Source organism: Homo sapiens, chromosome 13, assembly GCF_000001405.40.
Source record: "Homo sapiens chromosome 13, GRCh38.p14 Primary Assembly".
In the NCBI taxonomy this organism is placed as follows: Eukaryota; Metazoa; Chordata; class Mammalia; order Primates; family Hominidae; genus Homo; species Homo sapiens.
Genome location: NC_000013.11, coordinates 24,021,563 through 24,044,559, shown reverse-complemented (window position 1 = coordinate 24,044,559; position 22,997 = coordinate 24,021,563). Strand labels below are relative to the sequence as shown.

Sequence of the window (22,997 nt, the reverse complement as noted above, 5' to 3'; positions counted from 1 at the left end):
TGTGTCAACTGAAAATTAAATCAAAAACAGGACAGGAGCAGTGGCTAATGCCTGTAATCCCAACACTTTGGGAGGCCGAGGTGGGCGGATCATGAGGTCAAAAGATCGAGATCATCTTGGCCAACACGGTGAAACCCCGTCTCTACTAAAAATACAAAAATTAGCTGGGCGCAGTGGCAGGTGCCTGTAGTCCCAGCTACTTGGGAGGCTGAGGCAGGAGAATCGCTTGAACCCAGGAGGTGGAGATTGCAGTGAGCCATGATAGCGCTGCTGCACTCCAGCCTGGAAAGAGAGCAAGACTACGTCTCAAAAAAAAAAAAAAAAAAGAAAGAAAGAAAAACAAATTAAATCAAACAAACAAAGGCAGCAGAGGCCCACCAGGCCATCACTGTGGTGTGGCTTGCAGCACAGCAGCCCCGGGCCAGGCTCAGGCAGCCACTCCCCAGCCAGGGCAGGAGCCCTCCACCTTCCGGGCTTTAGCTTCTCAACATGGAAGAAACAGAATTAGTACTTTCCCTGACCGCCTCCTGCTCAGAGCACCCTGTGAAAAGCAAAATGCTCCACCAGTGTAAATCCATCATCTTACCTCCAAGCAGCACCATCAAAATGGAAAAAAACTAACCCCACTTCCCAAGGTTGGGGAGCAGTTAAAGTTGCCACCTACCCCTCCCCTGGCAGTCCTTATTTTGAGGGTGACTTCATTTGTTCCACTTACAGTCATTTCCAATAGAGTCAGGAAGGGTATTTAATAGAAAATCTCAGTGTGTGATGAATCAGCACAGAATCGGGAAAACATGCTGCAGAATGTGACCTTTCACGACCAGCAGGCCATGCCCAATATTTCATCCTTTCCCTTTGGCATAAGGCTGTCAACAACAAAAAAAAATTCCCTCAAAGTTACGAGAGACATACAATTTGGGGACAGATTCACTGAGGCCTTTACTCTCCAGAAAAGCATGTTGTTTTCTCCAAGCTGACAATGGTGAATTCTAAGCTGGAGATTACCAGTGAGCTCAAGACTCTGGGTGTGCAAGATGCATGTGCACAGAGGTGTGTGTTCATGGGTGTGTGTGTGTGTGTAATATCAATCAAGGTCCAGAACCTGGGAGGTGCAATGTTCTCAGTGTTCTTTTCCTGAGTATCCCCATGGTTGCTACAAATGATTTCCCAATCCATCAAGCTGCAGGGACCAGTGCTGCTGAGATGGGAGAAGTGGACGTGGTGTTTGACCACAAAAAAGGGTAGCATCCACCACATAAGTACCTGGACTCCTAGGCTCCAACCCACTACTCTTGGCCACGCAATCCCTTGCATGTTTGTCATAGCCAAGACGCATGTCCAAGGCGAGGCAGCTAAGGGAGAGGAGTGATAAACCACCAAGCCAGAGAGGCGGTGCGGAGAACACCGAGGCCACCCGCTGCTGATGTTCCTCTATGTGACCTAAGCTGAAGGAGAGATGTGACCTCGCCAACACCTGAAACGAACACTTGAAATTTAATGAGTTTGTGTGTGTTCCACTCAACTGAGCCAATACTGGCATTATTCACTAAGACACACATTGCGAAAGGGTTCATTCTCAACCCAGGCCACTTGAGGATATATTTACGGAGGTATTTTTATACATTTGCATCATTCTATCAACTGTAAATCTAAACAGACAGTAGGCGTCTGAGGAACTATTTTTAAACGCACGTTTCCCCTGGTGTTTCTCAACATGCGATTCTCAGACCACATGTGTTAGAATGAACTGGGAGAGCTTGGTAAGATGCAGATTCTTGGGCTCCACCGCTGACCAAGTGAGGCAGCCTCTCTGGGATTCACACTTAGGGATTTCTGTCTTTATCAAGCTCTCCCAATTATATGCATGCACAATGCATTTTGAGAAGCTCTCCCCTTTGAGTTAGTTCAGTAAGGTTTACCCCCTGGTAATGAATACACCAGCTGACCGCCCATGAGCCAGTGCTCTGAGAAGTGAGTTCGCGCACGGGCATAGATGTGCGCTTGTGTCTCTGAGATGTGAGTTAGTCCACGGTGGTGGACGTGCACTTGTGTCTCTGATCTCAGTGACTCGTGAGGATCGGCACCAATGGCTTCACACAGCAGCCTGGTTTGCTTTGGAAACAGAAGCACTGTGAACACGCAACATCTCAGAAAGCGGCCTATGGATCTTTCCACAAAGGCTAGAACTGCATCATTGGCTTTCCAACTTGAACTTTTACATTTTATGTTAATTTTTCCTGTGTCTCCCATTCAGCTAGGGTTGAACATTTCCATTGAAACCAATGGAGCTTATCTATCAGCCTCAGGGCAAATAGTATCTCCCTAAGATTTAGGAGTAAGAAAAGAGACACAGAACGACCTTCTGGACCCTGCTTTCTCTCTCACAACCCACACTAGGTGGTCATAGCCAACGCTCCCGTGACACAGAGGACACCGCGCTTTCTCAGCAAATGTGCCTGAAGGGAGCTTGCGCTGCCCCTAGAGTTGGTCCACCTGCCTTGAAATGTGACACACGTGGCTGCCTCTGTGCCCCACACAAACCAAGAGCAAGGAATTCCCTGGTACACTTTCTAAACAGGCTTTAGGCAACATTTTTCGAACAGCATGAGGAAAAGGCGAGGACTGTGTGTCAGATACATTCCAATTGACCGTTACGCCTCACTCTGATTCCACCTGCTCTTTGCAAAGCTTCCATTGGTGGCCAAGTCTTCTCTGCCCTTTGCTCGGCTGAGGCCAGCCTTCCCTTACCTGTCTCACGCTTTCCCACCTTCCTTCTAGACATGGCTTGTGTGTGACCTTCTCCTGGGTTGAGTGAGAATAAATGGGATGCCCTGATCCACTACTCATCCTGACAACTGCCTTTCCCCAGCCCAGCCCTCACCTCCCTTCTTTTCTACTTTCTGATAGATATTTTCCCACTAAGAAGAAAAAGAATGAAAAGAAAACATTTCCTTAACATCACCATGGTTCCTGACACAACTGCATGTTTATCTGTGCTTCCAACATCGTTTAACCTTTGACCTACAAGGTATTTGATAAAACTGATACTGACATTTTGTTTAGCTTTATCTGTTATATGACGATATCTTTCACACCCTGTGAGATTTCTATTTACATGTGAGATTCTGATTCTGAGTCATTTAATTTGGACATAGGCATCATGGATTATGCTACTCTGACCTGGGTCAAAATTTGTCAATAGGGAAAATGAGCTTGAAAGAGAGAGAAACAAAAACCCTTTATCTGTAAAATTCAGGTTGAAACGTCCTTTGTTAAAAATCCAAATAACTTATATAACAATTAAATTGCCAGGAGATTCTTCAAAACATGTCACCACCTTTTATTTAACAAACAAGCTTCTCCCATTTTCCAGTGTGGTTCTGAGCTACTGTGGGTTGAATCAAGCTAAGTGGATAGGGCTGCACCATTTCAGCCACATCCTACCCCCATCCCACAATGTTCCTATAGATAAGAGCACAGGCAGGCATTGTGATTTTGCTGTATTTGTTGTTTCACAGTAAAACTGCCTTAATTGTGCTTGTCCACATGCAGCTGTAACCATGTGACCCACCAGCACCTGGCCTCATTGTTCGTTCCCCCTGAGTCTCCGAGTCTCCCCCAGGGGCTTCCCAGTGGGCAGCAACTGCAGTATTTGAGTTCGTGGTGCTCTAACCTGAGCAAAAGCTGCTTGTGTTGGGCCAACCACAATCTGTATCCTCAAAAACTGGGAAGAGTTTTATAAAGGAACGACAGCAAACAATCAGCAAAAGCTGAAGAGAAGAGCCTCAGACTACTAAAAAATCTAAAGTTGGGGTGCCTTGAAGCGACCCTTTTCCCCCTTTCAATTGGTACAATTTGGATCCACAGGAGAGGAGGCCTAGTTGGATTCTCCTCAAGTCATTTCTCCTCATTAAAACTGAACTTTACAAAATTGGTGCTTGGCAGGCTTTGTGTCCTGGACCCCTGTGTCTCCCCGGGACCCCAAGACTCTATTTACCCTTGCCTTCCAATGTCCACAGTGTCCTGGTGGTAGCCTCCTCTCCAACCCCATCTGTGTGTCTGTAGAACACAAAAGTGTAGTTACACCTGGTTTCCTGTCAAGGGCGGTGCTGTGAATTTCTACACTCCATACTCTAATGACTACTTGTCATGCTCTTAAAAACATATAGACAGATGCTGTTGGTTGAGCCATGTACCACCTGGGAGGCCTCAGGACTTTAAACTTCTCAAGCCACTGATTTCCTGATTTGAAAAACCAGGTTTGTGAGACACACGGGGCCTTTGTCCAGAGCTGGATGCATAGAGAGCACTCAGTGGAGGTCATCTCCCTCCTCCCCAGGCCAGAACCCTGACTTAACGCTCTCTCTGGTTTTGCTGGCATAGGGCACTCGCCATTTGGTTTGGCCACCCAGCATCTCAAGCCTGTCTGTGTTTGGGGGATTTCTGCTGAATGGCCTTTAGTGGAAGTTTTAGAGGAACTGCTACTTAAAATGATCATCTGAATATGCTCACCTCACCAAACGGTGCTTGTGATTGGCCAAACATTGCCCGGCTTCAGTCTTCCTTGCTTCTAGAGCAGCTGCATGCAGCTTGGGCTCCACCACTCAGAAAGGCCCTCACCATACACAGGAGTGAGTGGCCCAAGAAGGGAAGATCAGAGCTCAGCCTGTCTTTGGTGGGGACGGTGCTAGAGGTAACTGAAAGTGTGCTTTCCTGGAGCAAATGTGGTATCATTATGACAGCATTGATAGCTGTTCTTAAACCAAGTTCTGGTACACAAAACAATGCACAAAGCCAACTACAGAATTCCCCCAACCCCAGTCACATGCAGGATTGGGAGAACAAATGGCAACTTACAAAAGGCAGAAAAAGAAACTCACAACCTATGGACCCCTCCAGTCCACAGAACAGCAAGAGACAAAAGGAAGAACAACCAGAGCAAGAACTAAGAAACGACCCCTCGAGGCCCAAGAATTCCTATTGAGAGTGAGAAAGAAAAATGCCCTTTTATGAACTTGATAATAAAAGAAACCTAAATAAGTCAAAGCGCTTGCCAACTTTTAAATTCTGATTTGCCAGATGCAGAATTCTGATTCTGCACATTCTAAAGATTAAACTTGTGAGAAGCTGCGAATCTGCTTCCACTATATTTGTGCTCTCTTAGGAAGGAGGCCACTGAGGCTCTCCCTACCATGTCCATTCCCACCAGGCTTTCTTCCTGCCACGAAAGTCTGCAAGGTAGAGCTGTCAACACCAGGTTGGTAAATTGAGTAGTAGCTGGTAGAGGGATGACCAGCAGCTGCAGCCACAGCCAGGCGCAAAGGCAGAATTAAAAGTGGAACAATCAAGACAGTGTTTCTAGCACTGTGGTGACATCATACACCATGAACGTTTTATTCATTGTGTGCACAGAGCAGAGAAGAAAGGTTCACTAATTATAGAGAGGCAGATCAGGGAGCAATCCAGATTTTCTAACAAGCCTGCACTCTGGTTTGTGGTGGTGTAAACAATAACTTTTTTAATCGTCTCTGATAGAAGGTATGTGAGCACTGGAGCAATGACCACAAAACTGCCCCTATTTCCCTGCCTGTGTCACAGGGCTGCCTGTCTGGCCCATTGCCTGGGATGAGCAGGTTTCTCTGGATTTGTGTGCTCCCTTTTAGCCAAGACTAGAATTACCTATGATTGGTGGAATGCAAAGTCCTAAGAGTCCCCAGGATTCCACCCAATTTTTTGATGTTGTGCTTCCTTATTACAACTATAACTCCTGCGTCCTAGTGAGCTGTGAATTAGATCAGAGGTTCAAGAACTCCAGCCCATGGGCCAAATGCAGCCCCTGCTTGTTTCTGTAAATAGAGTTGTTTGGATGCGAGGGGCCAACTCACTTTCCTGTTTGTGGCTGCATTCGCGCAGCAATGGCAGAGCTGAGTCATCACCACAGAGAACATAAGACCTGCAGAGCCTAAAATCCTTACTCTCGGCACTTTACCGAAGACGTCTGCTGACCCTGAGTTGGATGCTATCTTGCTTCTGAGCACAAAGAGAGGTTCCCTCCTGAAGTGCTGCAGTGATTTGTCCTGCTTCCCTGGTACTAACCGCTGCGTGCATGGGAGGAAACAGAATAAGAACTCCCTTCCCAACACAGACTATGTTGGAATATCAAAAATAACCAGATGGTTGGGACTCCAATGTAAACATAGAACAGAGGGAACTAAAGCCCCCTGGCACAATCGAGGAAGGATTTGCTTTTATAGATGTGGCCTTTTCTGATCCCATTATAGCAGATATTGGGTTTAAAAACTGTAAAAAAGACCACAGTATATATTTGTTAAAAATCTAGCCTAGTTGGCCGGGCGCGGTGGCTCATGCCTGTAATCCCAGCACTTTCGGAGGTCGAGGCAGGCGGATCACGAGGTCAGGAGATCGAGACCATCCTGGCTAACACGGTGAAACCCCGTCTCTACTAAAAAAATACAAAAAATTAGCTGGGCATGGTGGCAGGCGCCTATAATCCCAGCTACTCGGGAGGCTGAGGCAGGAGAATGGCGTGAACCCGGGAGGTAGAGCTTGCAGTGAGCCAAGATTGTGCCACTGCAATGCAGCCTGGGTGACAGAGCGAGACTCCATTTCAAAAAAAAAAATCTAGTCTAGTTGTTACTAACCTTTTACTGGGGGGAAAGGAGGAGTAAAATTTCTGAAGAATGATATATATACACAGACATCCACAATTTCACTTACAAGTTCTGGGGGTTTCATGGGCCCCCAATAAGCTAATCCACGAACCCCAGATTAAGAAACTCCGATCAATTTTTCTGCTTGCTGTAGGAAAAACAAACTTTAAAAGTGTTAGCCGGCTGGGCACGGTGGCTCATGCCTGTAATCTCAGCTCTTTGGAAGGCCGAGGCAGGTGGATCACGAGGTCAGGAGATTGAGACCACCGTGGCCAACATGGTGAAACTCCATCTCTACTAAAAATACAAAAATTAGCCAGGTGTGGTGGTGTGCACACCTGTAGTCCCAGCTACTCAGGAGGCTGAGGCAGGAGAATCGCTTGAACCCAGAAGACAGAGGTTGCAGTGAGCTGAGATCATGCCATTGCACTCCAGCCTGGGCAACAGAGCGAGACTCTATCTCAAATAGATAAATAAATAAATAAAGTATTAGTCGAGAACCTGTTTTCTTTTCTTTTTTTTTTAATTTTTTTAAAATTATACTTTAAGTTCTAGGGTACATGTGCACAACGTGCAGGTTTGTTACATATGTATACATGTGCCATGTTGGTGTGCTGCACCCATTAACTCGTCATTTACATTAGGTATATCTCCTAATGCCATCCCTCCCCCCTCCCCCCACCCTATGACAGGCCCCGATGTGTGATGTTCCCCTTCCTGTGTCCAAGTGTTCTCATTGAAGAACCTGTTTTCAATTAGCTTAATTAAAAATTAGCAAGTGGTTATCTGCCAATTAATTTAAAATTGACAGCATCAGCCAGGCACGATGGCTCATGCCTGTAATCCCAGCACTTTGGGAGACTGAAGTGGGCAGATCAGGAGGTCAAAAGATTGAGACCATCCTGGCCAACATGGTCAAACCCCGTCTCTACTAAAAATACAAAAATTAGCTGGGCATGGTGGTGCACGCCTGTAGTCTCAGCTACTCGGGAGGCTGAGGTCGGAGAATCGCTTGAACCCAGGAGGTGGAGGTTGCAGTGAGCCGAGATTGTGCCATCTCAATCAATCAATCAATAAAAATTGACAGCATTTACTAAGGGCCAAATGAGTGGTACCGACAATAACGTTATTTGAATTGAGAAAAGTAAGAGATAATTGTTGTTTAGTAAGGTGAGAGCAGCCTTCACAGAAGAGATGCAATTTGTCTATGATCTCACAGAATTGCGAAGTTTTAGACAAGCAGGAAGGAGCAGGGAGGGCTGGGCTGCAAATGTCTTCAAGGCTCAGAGAGATCTCGTCCCTGGGTGTCTCCCTGTGGGCCCCAGGTGGCAGGGGAGCTAAAACATCCCTAAAAGTCACCTAAAGAACGTTCAGGTGTCTGTTCCAGATTCTACAGTGCACCTAACCAGTAAGAAACCACACTTGTCAAGAAACTCAAGCTAACCTGCTATTATCTAAAAAGTCTGCTTACATACTCCTCCTTTTTACACTTCCATACTTCTGTGAGGCCAGACATTCTTCCTCTACTTCAGCCATGGCAACACATTGTAACAAATTCAGCCTAAATGTAAGAACAGATAAGGACAGCCCAGCTGTCTTCCATTAACCCTGACGCCAGGGAGATTTGCAAAACACCAAAACACTGTCGTTCCTACTCATTGTCTTTGGGGCTTTGGAAAATATAGATACTTTCATAACAATATGGAATTTATGTAATGGAATTTTTATTGTGCTTTTAAAGTGAATATGTATTTTTGAAACTTCTCAATTTTAATTTCTAGTATTGTAAATATTAGTAGAACTAGTCCATCAGAAACAAAAGCTGCATAGGATCCTCAGGTTTTTTCTTTCTTTCTTTTTTTTTTTTTTTTTTTTGAGACAGGGTCTTACTCTGTCACCCAGGATGGAGTGCAGTGGCGTAATCTTGGCTCAGTGTGGCCTCAACCTCCGGGCTCAAGCGATTCTCCAGCCTTAGCTTCCTGAGTAGCTGGGACTACAGGCGTGAGCCATGATCACCCTGCTAATTTTCGTATTTATAGTAGAGATGGTTTTTTGCCATGTTAGCCAGGCTGGTCTCAAACTCCAGACCTCAAGTGATCCACCCGCCTTGGCCTCCTAAAGTGCTGGGAGAACAGGTGTGCGCCACCTCGCTCAGCCAGATCCTCAGTTTTTGAGAACATAAAGGAGTCCTGAGACTAAGAGTTTGAAGAGAACCATTGCTTTATATAAACTAAGTACAACTCAGTGACACGCCTCCTGTGAATCAGGTTTTTCTGGCTTGTTTTTCTCATGTTTGTTTCTTATTTTCTTCTGAGTTAGGCTGTGTGCCCAGGAACCCAGAAAACCAACCTGTCCTTGTGGCCTGTAAAGCTCCTAACATTCTGTTCCAAGTCTCCATGGCCAAAGCTCAACCAAGGGGTTTAAGAATACCATATAGGCCAGGCACAGTGGTTCACACCTGTAATCCCAGTACTTCGGGTGGCCGAGACAGCAGATCACTTAACCCCAGAAGTTCAAGACCAGCCTGGCCCACATGGCAAAACCTGTCTCTATTAAAAATATAAAAATTAGCTGGGTGTGTTGGTGCACACCTGTAATCCCAGCTACTCGGGAGGCTGAGGCACGAGAATTGCCTGAATGTGGGAGGTGGAGGTAGCAATGAGCTGAGATTGCACCTCTGCATTCCAGCCTGGGCGACAAGAGTGAGACTGTCTCAAAAAACAAAACAAAAACATATAGAAAGTAAACAATGCCCAATAAGTATAGGATGTTAATTTCTTAGACTTTTACTATGAATGTGATATTATTTGCCAGTTAACTCATGTCTTTTGAGATAAATGTTAAATAAATGAAAGTTGATGTGTCATGTAGAGCTTTATTTCTTGGCAAGAAAGCTGATGGGGTAAAGATGGCCACAGTTGCTTTGAACTCTCTCCATTGAGAGGTGGAGTTTATCTTCCGACAGCCTGAATTTAGCCTGGCCCTGTGAATGCTTAAGCCATAGATGATGGCAGAGTGGTGCTGTGCCCATTGTCAGCTCAGCCTCTTAGAAGACTGATGAGAGCTTTTGCTTCTGCTCTCTGGGGACAATCACTCCTAGGACTCTGCCTCTCAGCCCCTGCTGCTGTGCTGTGAAAATCCCAGGCCATACAAGCAGCCACGTGTAGGTGCCGTACCCACTGGCAGCTATGGGATTGAGCTGTCATGGAGGCTTCCACCTGGTGAACCTCCCAATGACTGTGGTCCAAGTGACATCACAAGACTAGGGCCCAAGTGACCTTGGTCCACGCATAGAACTCTGGGGAATAATAAAACGGTTGCCTTAAACTATTAAGCGTTGTCTGGTTTGTTATGCAGCAATATCTGTTATATATATATAGAATTTGGGAAGACACTGCTTGAATTGATCACTTTCTCTATTAAGACCTGTTAGGTACATTGATCAACAAGTGCTACAGACCCTGAAGTAAGCATTTTGCATTAAGTGATTGGACCCAACCAGTTTGATGGAAAATTTGGTCTCCTACCTCATTTTTGATCCAGAGCACAAGGGATTATTAACTTTCTTTTCCATTACACTCCTTCACTCAGCAAGCACTGTGTTGAGCGAAGGAGATTATCAGGTTATACAAAGAAGGTTCCCTGAGGTTTGAAATTTAGATTGCTGACTTTCCTACTTGAGTTCCCTTCTTGCCCAAGACCATAATTCCAGGAATTCCCCATCATCATCCCAGGAGTCTAAACAGTCTTTTAAACAGCTGCTAAATGTCGACGGTCTCATGATTCCTTAGAGGAATTTTTCTGTGGGTGGAGGAAGCCACCCTTATGGCTCTTAATCAAATGTTGAAAGTGTGCCCACAACAATGACTGGAACAAAGTGGAATCTTCAGAATTGCGATGCAGATAAAGGGTCTCCTCTTCCATAAATAGTGACTTGCTACAGAAAAACACCATTGCCTTCTTCTTTTCTGTTTAGTAAAAAGATGATTGTTGATACATGATAAAAGCCAAATAAGCTCTAATAGCCAAAAAGTTGCTCCAGTCTCCTGATTTCCCTTTCCCACGTTTCCCCTGGCACTGACTTCCTGAGGAAGTCACAGGCTGGATGGCAGGGCTCACCTGTCACATGACGGAGGGACACGCAGCCAGGTGGAGGCAACTGCTCCATCAGCACACTACGCAATCTCCCCCTACTTCGCTGTGCTTAGCATGAGATGGGGGACACTGAGCACTCACAGCCACTCAATGCCACACCAGGTCCCCACTGCAGGCTGGGCAAGGATCCACAACCTTCGTGAGCCCCCTTGAAGCTGAGGACTGGAATGGCTGCTGTGTGCCCGGGTTCTCCTCAGGGTCTTCTTCCAGGTCAGTCCGAGCTGAAACCAAGAGGATAGCAGAATATTCTGGGTGGGGGAAGGTACCAGAGAGACCTCTCTGCACAGCCAGCATTCCCATAGTCATTAATAGAAAAGGAGAGTTCATCTCTGATGCCACGAGGGTCTGGCCATCAAGAACAGAGGGAAATGCAATGAGCCCCTCTGGCCCTATCAGAAACAAATAGAAAGGAGCCTCTCCATGCCTGCCTCTTGACTTGATTGCTTTTTTTCTTCTATACTTGACTGCTTTCGTTTCATTTTTATTAGATTTTTGAAATTCTATGTTTTGAGCAGTTCTGTCCAATTTGGTGGCTTCACACAGAGTGGGAGTTTAGCTAAGTGGTCTTGCTTTCAAATGATACTCAAACCTTGCAGGTCTGGGGACTTTCACCTGCTACCTAACATCAAAGGACTTAGTGCAGGCCTCTGAGAGACAGATCTTTTTAAAAAATTAAATTAATGCTTTATGTATCTAGAAAAAAATCTGAATTTTTATTGTCTCCATGAAAAGTATTGTATTACACAAACCTTTCCAATCTACCCAAAATGAGTGAGACAAATGAGTCATTCTCCCTGGCCAGGACTTTATCAAACGCCCCAGTATTCCCAGTGTTGGTGACCAATTAATAGAAAACAAATATTAAGTCTCAGACCTACTTACTCAACTAAACTGAACTGTAAGAATAAAAACTGGACCTTGGACTCTGGCAAGCCACTAGGGTAAGGCCACCCCAATGTAGTGAGCACATTTAGGTTTACTCATATTTAAAAGTTCAGTCACATTTTAGGGCAAACTTAACTCTCAAATATAAAGTTATTTTGAAGTTATTCTGCTCGTGCCCTGGATTTTCCCATGTTTCTGAAACTCTAATGCCTTATTTTCAACCAAAATCTTCTATACTCTCCATTACTGCAGAAACGACAGGGAAGGAACCTTTCCTTGCAGTCAGTTACCCTGTGAACAAGTATAAAGGAAACCCAACATATTTGTAACGACTCCTTATGAAATCTCTGGCAGAGACAGAGCTGAACTGATTCCAACAACATTCCATTTATTCCTAATGCCATATGAGTGGTTGTTAAGAATAATACCATGTGGACTGTTTAAGAAGAAATATTCCCATGACACTTGTTACATCACAGTGAGAAAGAATGTATTCAGGACCATTGCAATGGGTATAGGGACCACTGCTATGTGGTATTGCCATAGGGGAGAGAGAGCAGGCTCAGTGTTGAATACAGCATGGGCAAGTGGGAATTTATAGCCAAGGAGCAGGGTGGGAGTCAGTGGACAGAAAATCACTAAGAGGGAACGTCAGGGTGAGGTGGGGTTGTAGCTGAACCAGCCTACCAGAATTCTTGCTGAAGAGAAGCCGGGTGATCAGACGTCACCTGGGGGATGGTGGAGGATAATCAGACACCAAGCATGGGTGTTCTTACTAAACTGACTTACCAGGGTTCTTGCAAAAACTGAATTTTTGCAAGATGGGCATAGCAGAAGATTCAGAAGCTTGACTAAAGTTTGGCCAAGCAAAAGAATCATTGTCAGAACTTAGAACACAGAGGACAACTGTGGGTGAAGAATTATCCAAAAATGAAGGAAAACCTTGACCCAAAGAAGGAACTCACCTAATGTGATAGCTTGTAAATATGGTACACAGAATATCTTGGAAATCCAGAGGGTGTCCAGAGTAGATATCCACTGCTCTGAAATTAACTGCAGAATGCTGGATGTAGATATAAGAAAGATAATTTTCTAGTGTTGACTGAGGATTGTTTAAGGGAGAGAGAAGGTCCAAGATTATAAATTCCCCAAGGGCAGGTCATATGAGGTCTTAGCTATTTTTGCATCTACAGTGCCTGACATAAGCTCAATGTATGTTCATTGTTTGACCTATTCTGTGGTAGAAATCTCAGTTATTAAAAATGTTCATTTCACCAGATTTTTCATGGCTCAAAGGCCATTTAATTTCTTTAAGTTACTTAAATCTTGGCAGTAATTCCTGCCAAGCATATGTCTAGTCATAGATGTGTTTTCCCCATTGTCTTGGTATCTGGAAAGATCTGGGAAAGTGGACACAAGTTACCGAAAAGGACTCTCTCTCATTGTGAACTAATACATTGGAAGTCTGGCTTAGGAGATGTGCTAGCATGAATTGGTGTGCTAGAGTCAGATCAAATCCAAAGAAACCAATGGAAGGGAGTCTCCCAACCAGTTATGCTATGGACCAGACCTTGGTCTGTGCTAAATGCCCTAAGAAACTGCCACAGACTGAGGTCCTGCCTAACCTACAGGCCAGTCCCAATGCTGGCATCCATGCCATCCATGAAAGGGCCTCCCCTCCGCAGCAGTTCTAAGCATGGTATCAATCAATCAATGAATAAATCAGCCACAACTAAATAAATTAAAATAAGCTTTAAAACCATTTGCTACTTTGAATGGGAGAAGATATTGAGAAATGGAAGAAAATGCGGTAAACTGGGTGAAAACATAGGCTTTGGAGACTAGAAGAGCTAGAATTGAACGGTTATTCAATTATTATTCTAAGATTGGTTGTTACTTTGTGGACTTAAGCAAATTATTTAACCTTTTAAAATCTCAGGGTTCTCTGTAAAATTAGAAAAATAGTATCCATTTCATTGGGCTGTGAGGATTAAATGAGATTACCTACATAAAGGTCTTTTCCACTGCTGGCAATATGGTAGACTGGAGATTCTAAAAATCCTCCCACTACAGAACACCTAAGAATATTAGAGTCAATATATTTTTTTAAAGGAACAAAACCCTTAAACATGTATGGTTGTAGTAGCAAGATAAAAGAATTCCCCTGAAATCAGGAATGAAGTCATAAGATAAATCCAGGGAAATAAGAGATTGTTGAATACTCAGACAGCCTGGGGCATCTTCCAGTTCTAGGGCGCTGGGGACATCTAAAGCTCTAGGCTCTGGGGCTGGGGCTTTAATATTAATGGAAACATGGGTGGGCAGGAGATTAGGGAAAAGAAGAACCAGAGAGCACCACAGGAAGACAAGACACATCAAGGCTGTGCCCTCAGAGAAATGTCAAATAAGGAGAGCATAAGCACCCTACTGAAACCATTGACAGGAAAGTGACCTATCTTGGTCTTGGCTCTTAAGGAAAGTCTCCTATGGGTAGGGTTTTCAGTTTTACCAAATAAAATATGAAGTACAGGAGTTTATAGAGCAGTGAAACTCTTCCATCTGATACTATAATGGTGAACACATGCCATTACACCTATGTCTAACACCAGTGAATGTACAACACCAAGTGTGAACCCTAATGTCAACTAGGGACTCTGGGTGACAATGATGTGTCAGTGTTGGTTCATCAGCTCTAACAAATGCACCACGCTGTGGGGGATGTGGATGATAGGGGAGGGTATATGTATGTATGTATGTATGTGTGTGTGTGTGTGTGTGTGTGCGTGTGTGTGTGTGTGTGTTAGGAGAAGGTAGGGCATATATGAGAACTCTACTTTCCACTCAATTTTGCTATGAATTCCCATGGAATACTATGCAGCCGTAAAAAAGAATTAGATCATGTCCTTTGCATGAACATGGATGGAGCTGGAGGCCATTATCCTTAGCAAACTAACTTAGGAAGAGATAACCAAATACCGCATGTTCTCACTTATAAGTGAGAGCTAAATGATGAGAACATATAGACACCTAGAGGGGAACAACACACACTGGGGCCTATCGGAGGGTGGAGGGTGGGAGGAGGGAGAGGACTCAAAAAATTAACTAATGGGTACCAGGCTTTAATACCTGGGTGATGAAATAATCTGTACAACAAACCCCCATGACACAAGTGTGTGTATTTAACAAAGCTGCACTTGTACCCCTGAAATTAAAATATCAAAATCTAAATTTAAAAAATTTGCTGTGATTCCAAAAATGCTCTACAGAACAGTCTATATGTTAATATATATTTAAAAATACAGGGTCCCCAGTTTATTTGAATTTTATGTAAATAACATACAAAATTTTTTTATTGTTTAATTGAAATTCAAATTTAACTGAACATTCTGTATTTTTTATGGCAACCCTACTCCTGAGAATCTGTGGCTATCAGCCAGCCCTAACATGGATTTGGGTCTTGATTTCACACTATTTGTCTAAAAAAATGTAAGCTAAAATGTTTATATTAAATAGATCCAAATTTGTACTGTCCTGACGCATCTGGTAAAAGCAAACAAAAATTATTTCTGTAAAAGATGCATCTTTGCCCCAGACTTTAAAGTATTCCCACGAAAAGATTTTCAGAGGCCGGCTGTGTTGGCACATGCCTGTAAGTTCCAGCTACTTGGGAGGCTAGGTGACAGGATCACTTGAGCCCAGGAGTTTAAGTTCAGCTTGGACAACACAGTGAGACCCCGTTACTAACAAAAACTATTAAAAATAAATTCGATAATTAAAAATAAAGGTTTTGAATAAATATAAGCTTATAACAACAAAAAAACCACATACGAGGAAACAAAAGAGAGCAGAAAGAAAAAAATACTGGCCCAGGCTCACCAGGACTTTAGGAAGTAAAATTATTAGATGTAGATTATAAAACATTTTCATGTTTAAAAAAACAGGGGAAATTGAAGCCATGAGCAAGGATATTTTTAGAAATGACCAGAAACATAAAAAACACAAATCTTTAAAATAGAGAAATATAATTATTGAAATGAAAAACTCAAAGCAACAGTTAAATAGCAGATTACACACAGTTGAGTAAAGAAAGTGACAGAAAGATGTGAGTAAAAGCTTGAAGCGTAAGAACGGACAAACATTCAATTGGAATTCTATACAAAGATAGTAAGGTGAATAAAAGAGAGGCAATTAGAATTTTCCAAAACTGATAGTAGTTATCAATGTTCAGAATTAGGAAGCATAAAGAATATAATGCCAGATCTCTCCTAGACACATCACTAAAAAACTGAAGAATGCCAAAGTCAAAAAAAGATTTCAAAGCAACCAAAGAGAAAAGATAGGACCTTGTATTTAATTAGACACCAGCTGACATCACAACTGCAACCAAGGGAGTCAGGAGAATATTATCTGTAAAGTACTAGGAGAAACTAACAACCAACCCAGAATTATGTACCCAGCAAAACTGTTTCAAGAATGATGGCAAAATATAGACACCTGCACATGAACTGATACATTCAGATAAGTTGGGAGCAGTATACCAACAAGATATCCTCTCTAAAAGACTTTTGGAAGAGTGTACTATGGAAGAAAATAAATTAGCTCAAATGCAAAAAGGAATGATGAGCAAAGAAAATGGTAAGTATGTGTGTGTATCTGAACAAGCCTAAGTAGAAGATAATAATAATAGGGTAACTTGTGGATTTAAAAAAGATTAAGTGTATTAGCCCATAAATTTTAACAGTCCTGACTCCATGTTAGAGAAGAGTTTGCTTATGGCTATATGTTTGGAAATTAAAAATTATAAAAACATCTAAATTTATGAATCAAAGAAAAATATAATAGAAATTAAAAACTACTAAAACAGAATTATAACAAAAACAATTTCATCACAGTTTTTCTGGTGTTACATGGCTAATGATGTTTAAGCAGATGCTGGAGCAGAGCTGAGGAAGAGTAAAGAGCATAAAGGGGTGGAAGAGGAACAAGCAGGCAGGAAGGGCACTCCTGAAGGGTTTAATCTACACCACGTGTTCTTCTAAGATCCGTGCATATACTAATTTCCTCGGTTTTCACAACTATGCTATGATACTGGTGTTACCCAATTTCGAGTATATGAAACTAAGGCACAGAGAAGTTAAGTTACCTGACCAAGGTCACACAGCCAGAAAAGAGGCTTATTTGCTTATACTAGAAAAGAAGAACTGAACATTAATGAACTAAGAACTAATACATAAAGATAAAAAACAGCAACTCAAAAAACCCAAGAATGTAGAAGAAAGGAAATAATAAAGAGCTAAAATCAGTGAAATTAGAGATCAAGTATACAACACAGAAATTAGGAAGTAAAAAGTTTATTCTTTGGAAATATTAATAAAATCACTAAACCTCTGGCAAGTTTGAAAAAAAAAGAAAAGGCAGCCAGGCATGGTGGCTCACGCCTGTAATCCCAGCACTTTGGGAGGCCGAGGCGGGTGGATCATGAGGTCAGGAGTTCAAGACTAGCCTGATCAACATGGTGAAACGCCGTCTCTACTAAAAATACAAAAATTAGCTGGGTGTGGTGGCGCACGCCTGTAATCCCAGCTACCTGGGAGGCTGAGGCAGGAGAATTGCATGAACCTGGGAGGTGGAGGTTGCAGTGAGCTGAGATTGTGCCACTGCACTCCAGCCTGGACGACCGAGCTAGACTCCGTCTCAAAAAAAAAAAAAAAAAACGGCTAAACAAAAAATATCAGGAACAAAAAGGTAATATGACAGGGATATAAGAGAGAAAAGACTGAACTATACTATAATCAACTTTCTTACATATATACTATATATTTAAAAATACAAAATGTACACATTTCTAGAATAATAGAAAATTGACTTATAAAGAAACAGAGTACCCTCAAAAACTAAAGATAGTGAGTCAGTCATTTTAAATCTTCCTATAAAATAAACAGCAGTTGGCCAGGTGTGGTGGCTCACGCCTGTAATCCCAACACTTTGGGAGGCGGAGGCAAAGGTCACAAGGTCAGGATCACAAGGGCGGATCACGAGGTCAGGAGATCCAGACCATCCTGGCTAACACGGTGAAAACCCGTCTCCACTAAAAATACAAAAAATTAGCTGGACGTGGTGGCGGGCACCTGTAGTCCCAGCTACTTGGGAGGTTGAGGCAGAAGAATGGCGTGAACCCGGGAGGCGGAGCTTGCAGTGAGCTGAGATCACACCACTGCACTCCGGCCTGGGTGACAGAGCGAGACTCTGTCTCAAAAAATAAAAATAAAAAATAAACAAATAAATAAACAGCAGTTTGTATCCAATTCCTACATACAATTTTGTAAACAGTATCTACCAAACATAAAGGGCCAAATAATTCCATCTTACCCAAACTGAACCACGAACACTCCCCATCACTAAGGCTAGTAAATAATTAATACTGAAACCAGATCTGGAACACAAGAGAGGATCTCTACTTTGCTTCACACCTCCCTCCCCAGTGCACCCCCAAAATAAATAATAATTCATCTGCTCTTCATGTGAAGAACACAAAACTCCAAAATCAGCAGAAAACAGAGGAGGGTAGCTATGTGACTTTTAAATAGGAAAGGATTTCTTAACTCACAAGAAGCATTAATCATAAAAGGAAAAAGACGGAATACATTAAGAACTTCTGTTCATCATGATACCATAAAACGACATGAAAAATCATACTTTGAGGGGAATATATTTGCAACCAATGTAACCAACAAAGTAGTAGCCAAGATATATGAACTAGCAACCCAGTAAAAAGAAAAGGTATTTAGAAGGCCGAGGCAGGTGGATCACGAGGTCCAGAGTTCGAGACCAGCCAGACCAACATGGTGAAACCCCATCTCTATTAAAAATACAAAAATTAGCCAGGCGTGGTGCTATATGCCTGTAATCCCAGCTACTCAGGAGGCTGATGCAGGAGAATCCTTTGAACCTGGGAGGCGGAGGTTGTAGTGAGATCGCGCCATTGCACTCCAGCCCAGGCGATAGAGTGAGACTCCGTCTCAAAAAAAAAAAAAAGAAAGAAAGAAAGAAAGAAAAGGTAAAAGATGTGATTAGATATTTCATAGAAAAAAATGTGAATGGCTAACAGCTCTATGAAAAGATGCTCAAATTCTTTGAAAGTCACAAAAAGGAAAATTTAAACCGTAATAAAATCCATTTTATATTCACCAAATTGGCAGAAATTTGAAAACCAGGAATACCAGATTTTAGTAAGGATTTAGAGCAAAGGGAAGTTGTATATGCCACTGTTTTACATATAAATTGGAACAACTACTTTGGAGAAGCGTTTGGATTATTTTTTAAAGCTGAACATATAATTACACTATGACCCAGCAAATCCTAAATATATGTCCTAAGGAAATTTGCACATGGTTACTGGGAGACACATAGAATGTTCATTGGAAAGTATTTTTGTAATAGTTACAACTGGAAATTAATGTCCATCCATAGAAGAATGTACATACACATGTATTATTATTATATATATTTTTTGGTATATAAGTACACAGAAATACTTCAGAGCAGTGAAAATGAATAAAATCTAATTTAAGTATCAGCATGGTTAACTTAAAAAAGCATTTAGAAGGAGAATGCATACAAATTTGATTCATTTTAATAAAAATTTTAGGAAATAAACAAAAATAGGAAAATATTCCTTAAGGACATAAACATGGTAAAATAATAAAGAAGGAAAGAGAATTAAACATAATATTTGCAACAGTGGCTACCTCTAGAAAGAAGACAGGACTGTGCAACCATGGATTTAATAAGCAGGGAACTTTAGATTTTTATAATAGTCTGTTTCTTAAGATGTATGGGGGGTCTGGATATTCACTTTATTATTATGCTTCATCTGTGTTTATATATATATTTATATATATATTTATATATATATGAATTTGAATGTTTTTAAAATTAAAAAACAATTTTTAGAGAAATGGGGGTTCTCGCTATGTTACCCAGGGCTGGAATCTAACTTCTGAGCTCAAGCGATCCTCCCATCTGAGCCTGCCAAGTAACTGGGGCCACAGGCATGTGCCACTGCACCCGGCAGGCAAATATAGCTGAATTTCAATTTTTATTTATTTTTCTAGAGAGGGAGTTTTACTATATATATAACATATATATAATATATAACATTTTTATGTCATCAAATATTAACAAAATGTTTAAGAAAAACTTCCTGTGTGACATCTAGTAAGCACTGGATGCATCATAGCGGGATCAGCAGCAGCGTGCCAGCTGCTCTGTAGAACCGTGCTGTGTGGCCACCAGCAGGGCCCTGGTGGCATGGGACTCAGAGGGAGAGGGTTTCTAACACTCCAGATAGCACTCTCCTTTCTTCTTGCATGTGGTTGGTCTTGTCACTAGACAACCCAAGAGAATGAGGGGTGTTTCTTCTTCTTTAGTCAGCAGCCTGGTTCATCATTCCTTCATTCCATCTATCCATCCATCCATCCATCCATCCATCCGTCCATCCATTCATCCATCCATCCAATAAATAGTTAAGCACCCACCATGGTCTGGGAATCTCTATACTTCATCTTTCATTCAAAGTCCTATAGTCTGAAGAATCTTAGAGCGCATACAACCATGGATCAGGAAACTGTGGATGTGGATGGGGCCAGTTCACAGTGTGACTGGTCACCTCCCTTAGCCATCCTTCTACCAATGTCTGTGTAGAAATGGATTGCTCTGAATGAAACCCAACTCTGACACACTGACCTCCGCAGCACATGACTCAGAGCCTCTTCAGCACAGTGGCAATTCTGATCCCCTCAAATCTGTATTGAAGCTGACAACTTATTCACCACCGTCATGGACTATTGCAGTACAGGTGACCAGGATTTTGCTGTGAACTGACTATGATATTAGCGTCCACATGCATTTGTTTCCTGCTGCTGCTGAACAAATCCCCACCCATGCTGTGGCCTGAAACATTGCAGATCACCGTCTCACACTGCTGCAGGGTGGAAGTTCAACAGGGGTCTCGCAGGTTAAAACCAAGGTGCTGGCAGAACTGATTCTCTTCTGGAGGCTTCTCAGGGAGTATCAATTTCCCAGCTTTGAGAGGCGCCCACATTCCTTGGCTCATGGCCTCCACCTTCAAAGCCAGCAATGTCAGATCGGGTTCTCACACTGCATCTCTCTGGCCTCCTGTCCAGCCTCCCTCTTCCACTTTTAAGGACCCTTGTTATTACACTGGGCTTTCTAGATAATCTAGGATCATCTCCTTATTTTAGGATCAGCTGATTAGCAACCTTAAGTCCATCTGCAACCTAATTCTTCTTTACCATTGAAAGTAACACATTCACAAATGCCAGGGAATAGGACATGGACATCTTCCAGGGACTATTATTCTGCTTGCCACACTATGAAACAACCTGCATTATTCCCTACTTTTCTATTGAAATTAGAAGATAAAAAGCAAAGTATCCAAATCAGTTATATCTTCACTCCAGAGAAATGAATTTACTGAGCTATGCCTTAATGTCTACAGCTTTCACAGAAGATTCATGTGTATTTGCATACACACCATGGAATACTATACAGCCATAAAAAAGGATGAGTTCATGTCCTTTGCAGGGACATGGATGAAGTTGGAAATCATGATTCTGAGCAACCTATCACAAAGACAGAAAACCAAACACCGAATGTTCTCACTGATAGGTGGGAATTGAACAATGAGACACAGGCTGGGGAACATAACACACAGGGGCCTGTCATGGGGTGGGAGGTGAGGGGAGGGATAGCATTGGGAGAAATACCTAATGTAAATGACGGGTTGAAGGATGCAGCGGGCCAGCATGGTACATGTATACCTATGTAACGAGCTTGCACGCTGTGCACATGTACCCTAGAACTTAAAGTATAATAATAATAAAAAAAAAGAAGATTCAAGTGTATTTGAACAACCTCTATATAGTTTTTTTAGAAAATGGTAACTAAAGTTTTTGTCCAGCTCATGATTCAATGTTTCTTTTTCTACAAGAGCCTGCCTTGTACATTTTGCTTGAGTCTAATTCCAGGAAAACTTATGTTCCTGCAGAAGTAGTCATCAGTGAAAACAACATGGCCCACAATGGTGACCCCAAATCCTCCCACATGCTGCCAGAAAACATAAGAGCTAAATTCATTCCACTTCCTGTAGATGGTTTCTTCTTGTTTTAGCCCCAAAAAATTCTTATTTTAGTTTTCAAAAATTGTGGTGGAAAACATATAACTTAAAATTCACCATCTTAACCATTTTCAAGTGTGCAGCTCAGTAAAGTACATTTTCACACTATTTTGTAAGAGATCAGAAGGTTTTTGTCTTGCAAAACTGAAACTCTGTACTCATTAAACATTACTTTAAAATTTTAAAGTTACCTCTAGTATGCTAAGAAGTACTCATTTCTATCTTAAAAAGAAAATGGCTTTAAATTATTTTGAAAGTTTTACAAGTGCTTTATCAGTTTCAGAATACTGCAATTAAGAAACATTAAGATTTTTCGCCAGGCGCAGTGGCTCACGCCTATAATCCCAGCACTTTGGGAGGCTAAGGCTGGGTGGATCACCTGAGGTCAGGAGTTCGAGACCAGCCTGGCCAACATGGTGAAACCCCATCTCTACACAAAAATTAGCCAGGCATGGTGGCAGGTGCCTGTAGTCCCAGCTACTCGGGAGGCTGAGACAGGAGAATTGCTTGAATCTGGGAGGTGGAAGCTGCAGTGAGATGAGATTGCACTCCAGCCTTCAAGAGATAGAGCAAGACTCCATTTGAAAAAAAAAAAAAAAGAAAGAAAAGAGAAAAGAAACATTAAGATTTTCCAACAACTGGCCGGGCGCAGTGGCTCACGCCTGTAATCCCAGCACTTTGGGAGGCCGAGGCAGGCAGATTACGAGGTCAGGAGATCGAGACCATCCTGCCTAATACGGTGAAACCCCATCTCTACTAAAAATATAAAAAATTAGTCAGGCGTGGTGGCGGGCGCCTGTAGTCCCAGCTACTCGGGAGGCTGAGGCAGGAGAATGGTGTGAACCCGGGAGGTGGAGCTTGCAGTGAGCCAAGATCATGCCGCTGCACTCCAGCCTGGGCGACAGAGTGAGACTCCATCTCAAAAAAAAAAAAAGATTTTCCAACAACCTTCACAGAGTATGACTTCAATTAACATCTGGTGAATAATGCCCAATGCACGGCGTATACAGTCACAGATTAAGAGATCATTTGGTCAAATTTTGACGTTCAAAACAATTAGAGACAAGTCAGTCCTTGGGCATTTATGT

At 42.5% G+C, this 22,997-nt stretch overlaps 1 protein-coding gene across 2 annotated transcripts in view, besides 1 other annotated feature; it reads right to left on the bottom strand.

The window, feature by feature from the left end:
• The window catches only part of SPATA13 (spermatogenesis associated 13), a 327,268-nt gene that overhangs the window by 262,510 nt on the left and 41,761 nt on the right, over positions 1-22,997 (bottom strand). The window contains exons 4-5 of one of the 2 annotated variants that reach the window (NR_104595.2): positions 10,791-11,047; positions 9,527-10,639 (exon numbers count right to left, since the gene is read on the bottom strand). The exons of the other annotated variant lie outside the window; for it this stretch is intronic. The gene's annotated coding sequence lies outside the window, so the exon portion shown is untranslated. Of the gene's footprint in view, positions 1-9,526; positions 10,640-10,790; positions 11,048-22,997 lie in introns of those variants that run through there. 2 annotated transcript variants of the gene reach the window in all.
• Positions 5,756-6,050: an enhancer, noted in NCBI's record as "tiled region #9740; HepG2 Activating non-DNase unmatched - State 23:Low, and K562 Activating non-DNase unmatched - State 24:Quies". NCBI's record gives its function as "activates a minimal TATA promoter and a strong SV40 promoter by Sharpr-MPRA in HepG2 and K562 cells {active_cell/tissue: HepG2 | K562}" and the evidence as "EXISTENCE:reporter gene assay evidence [ECO:0000049][PMID:27701403]".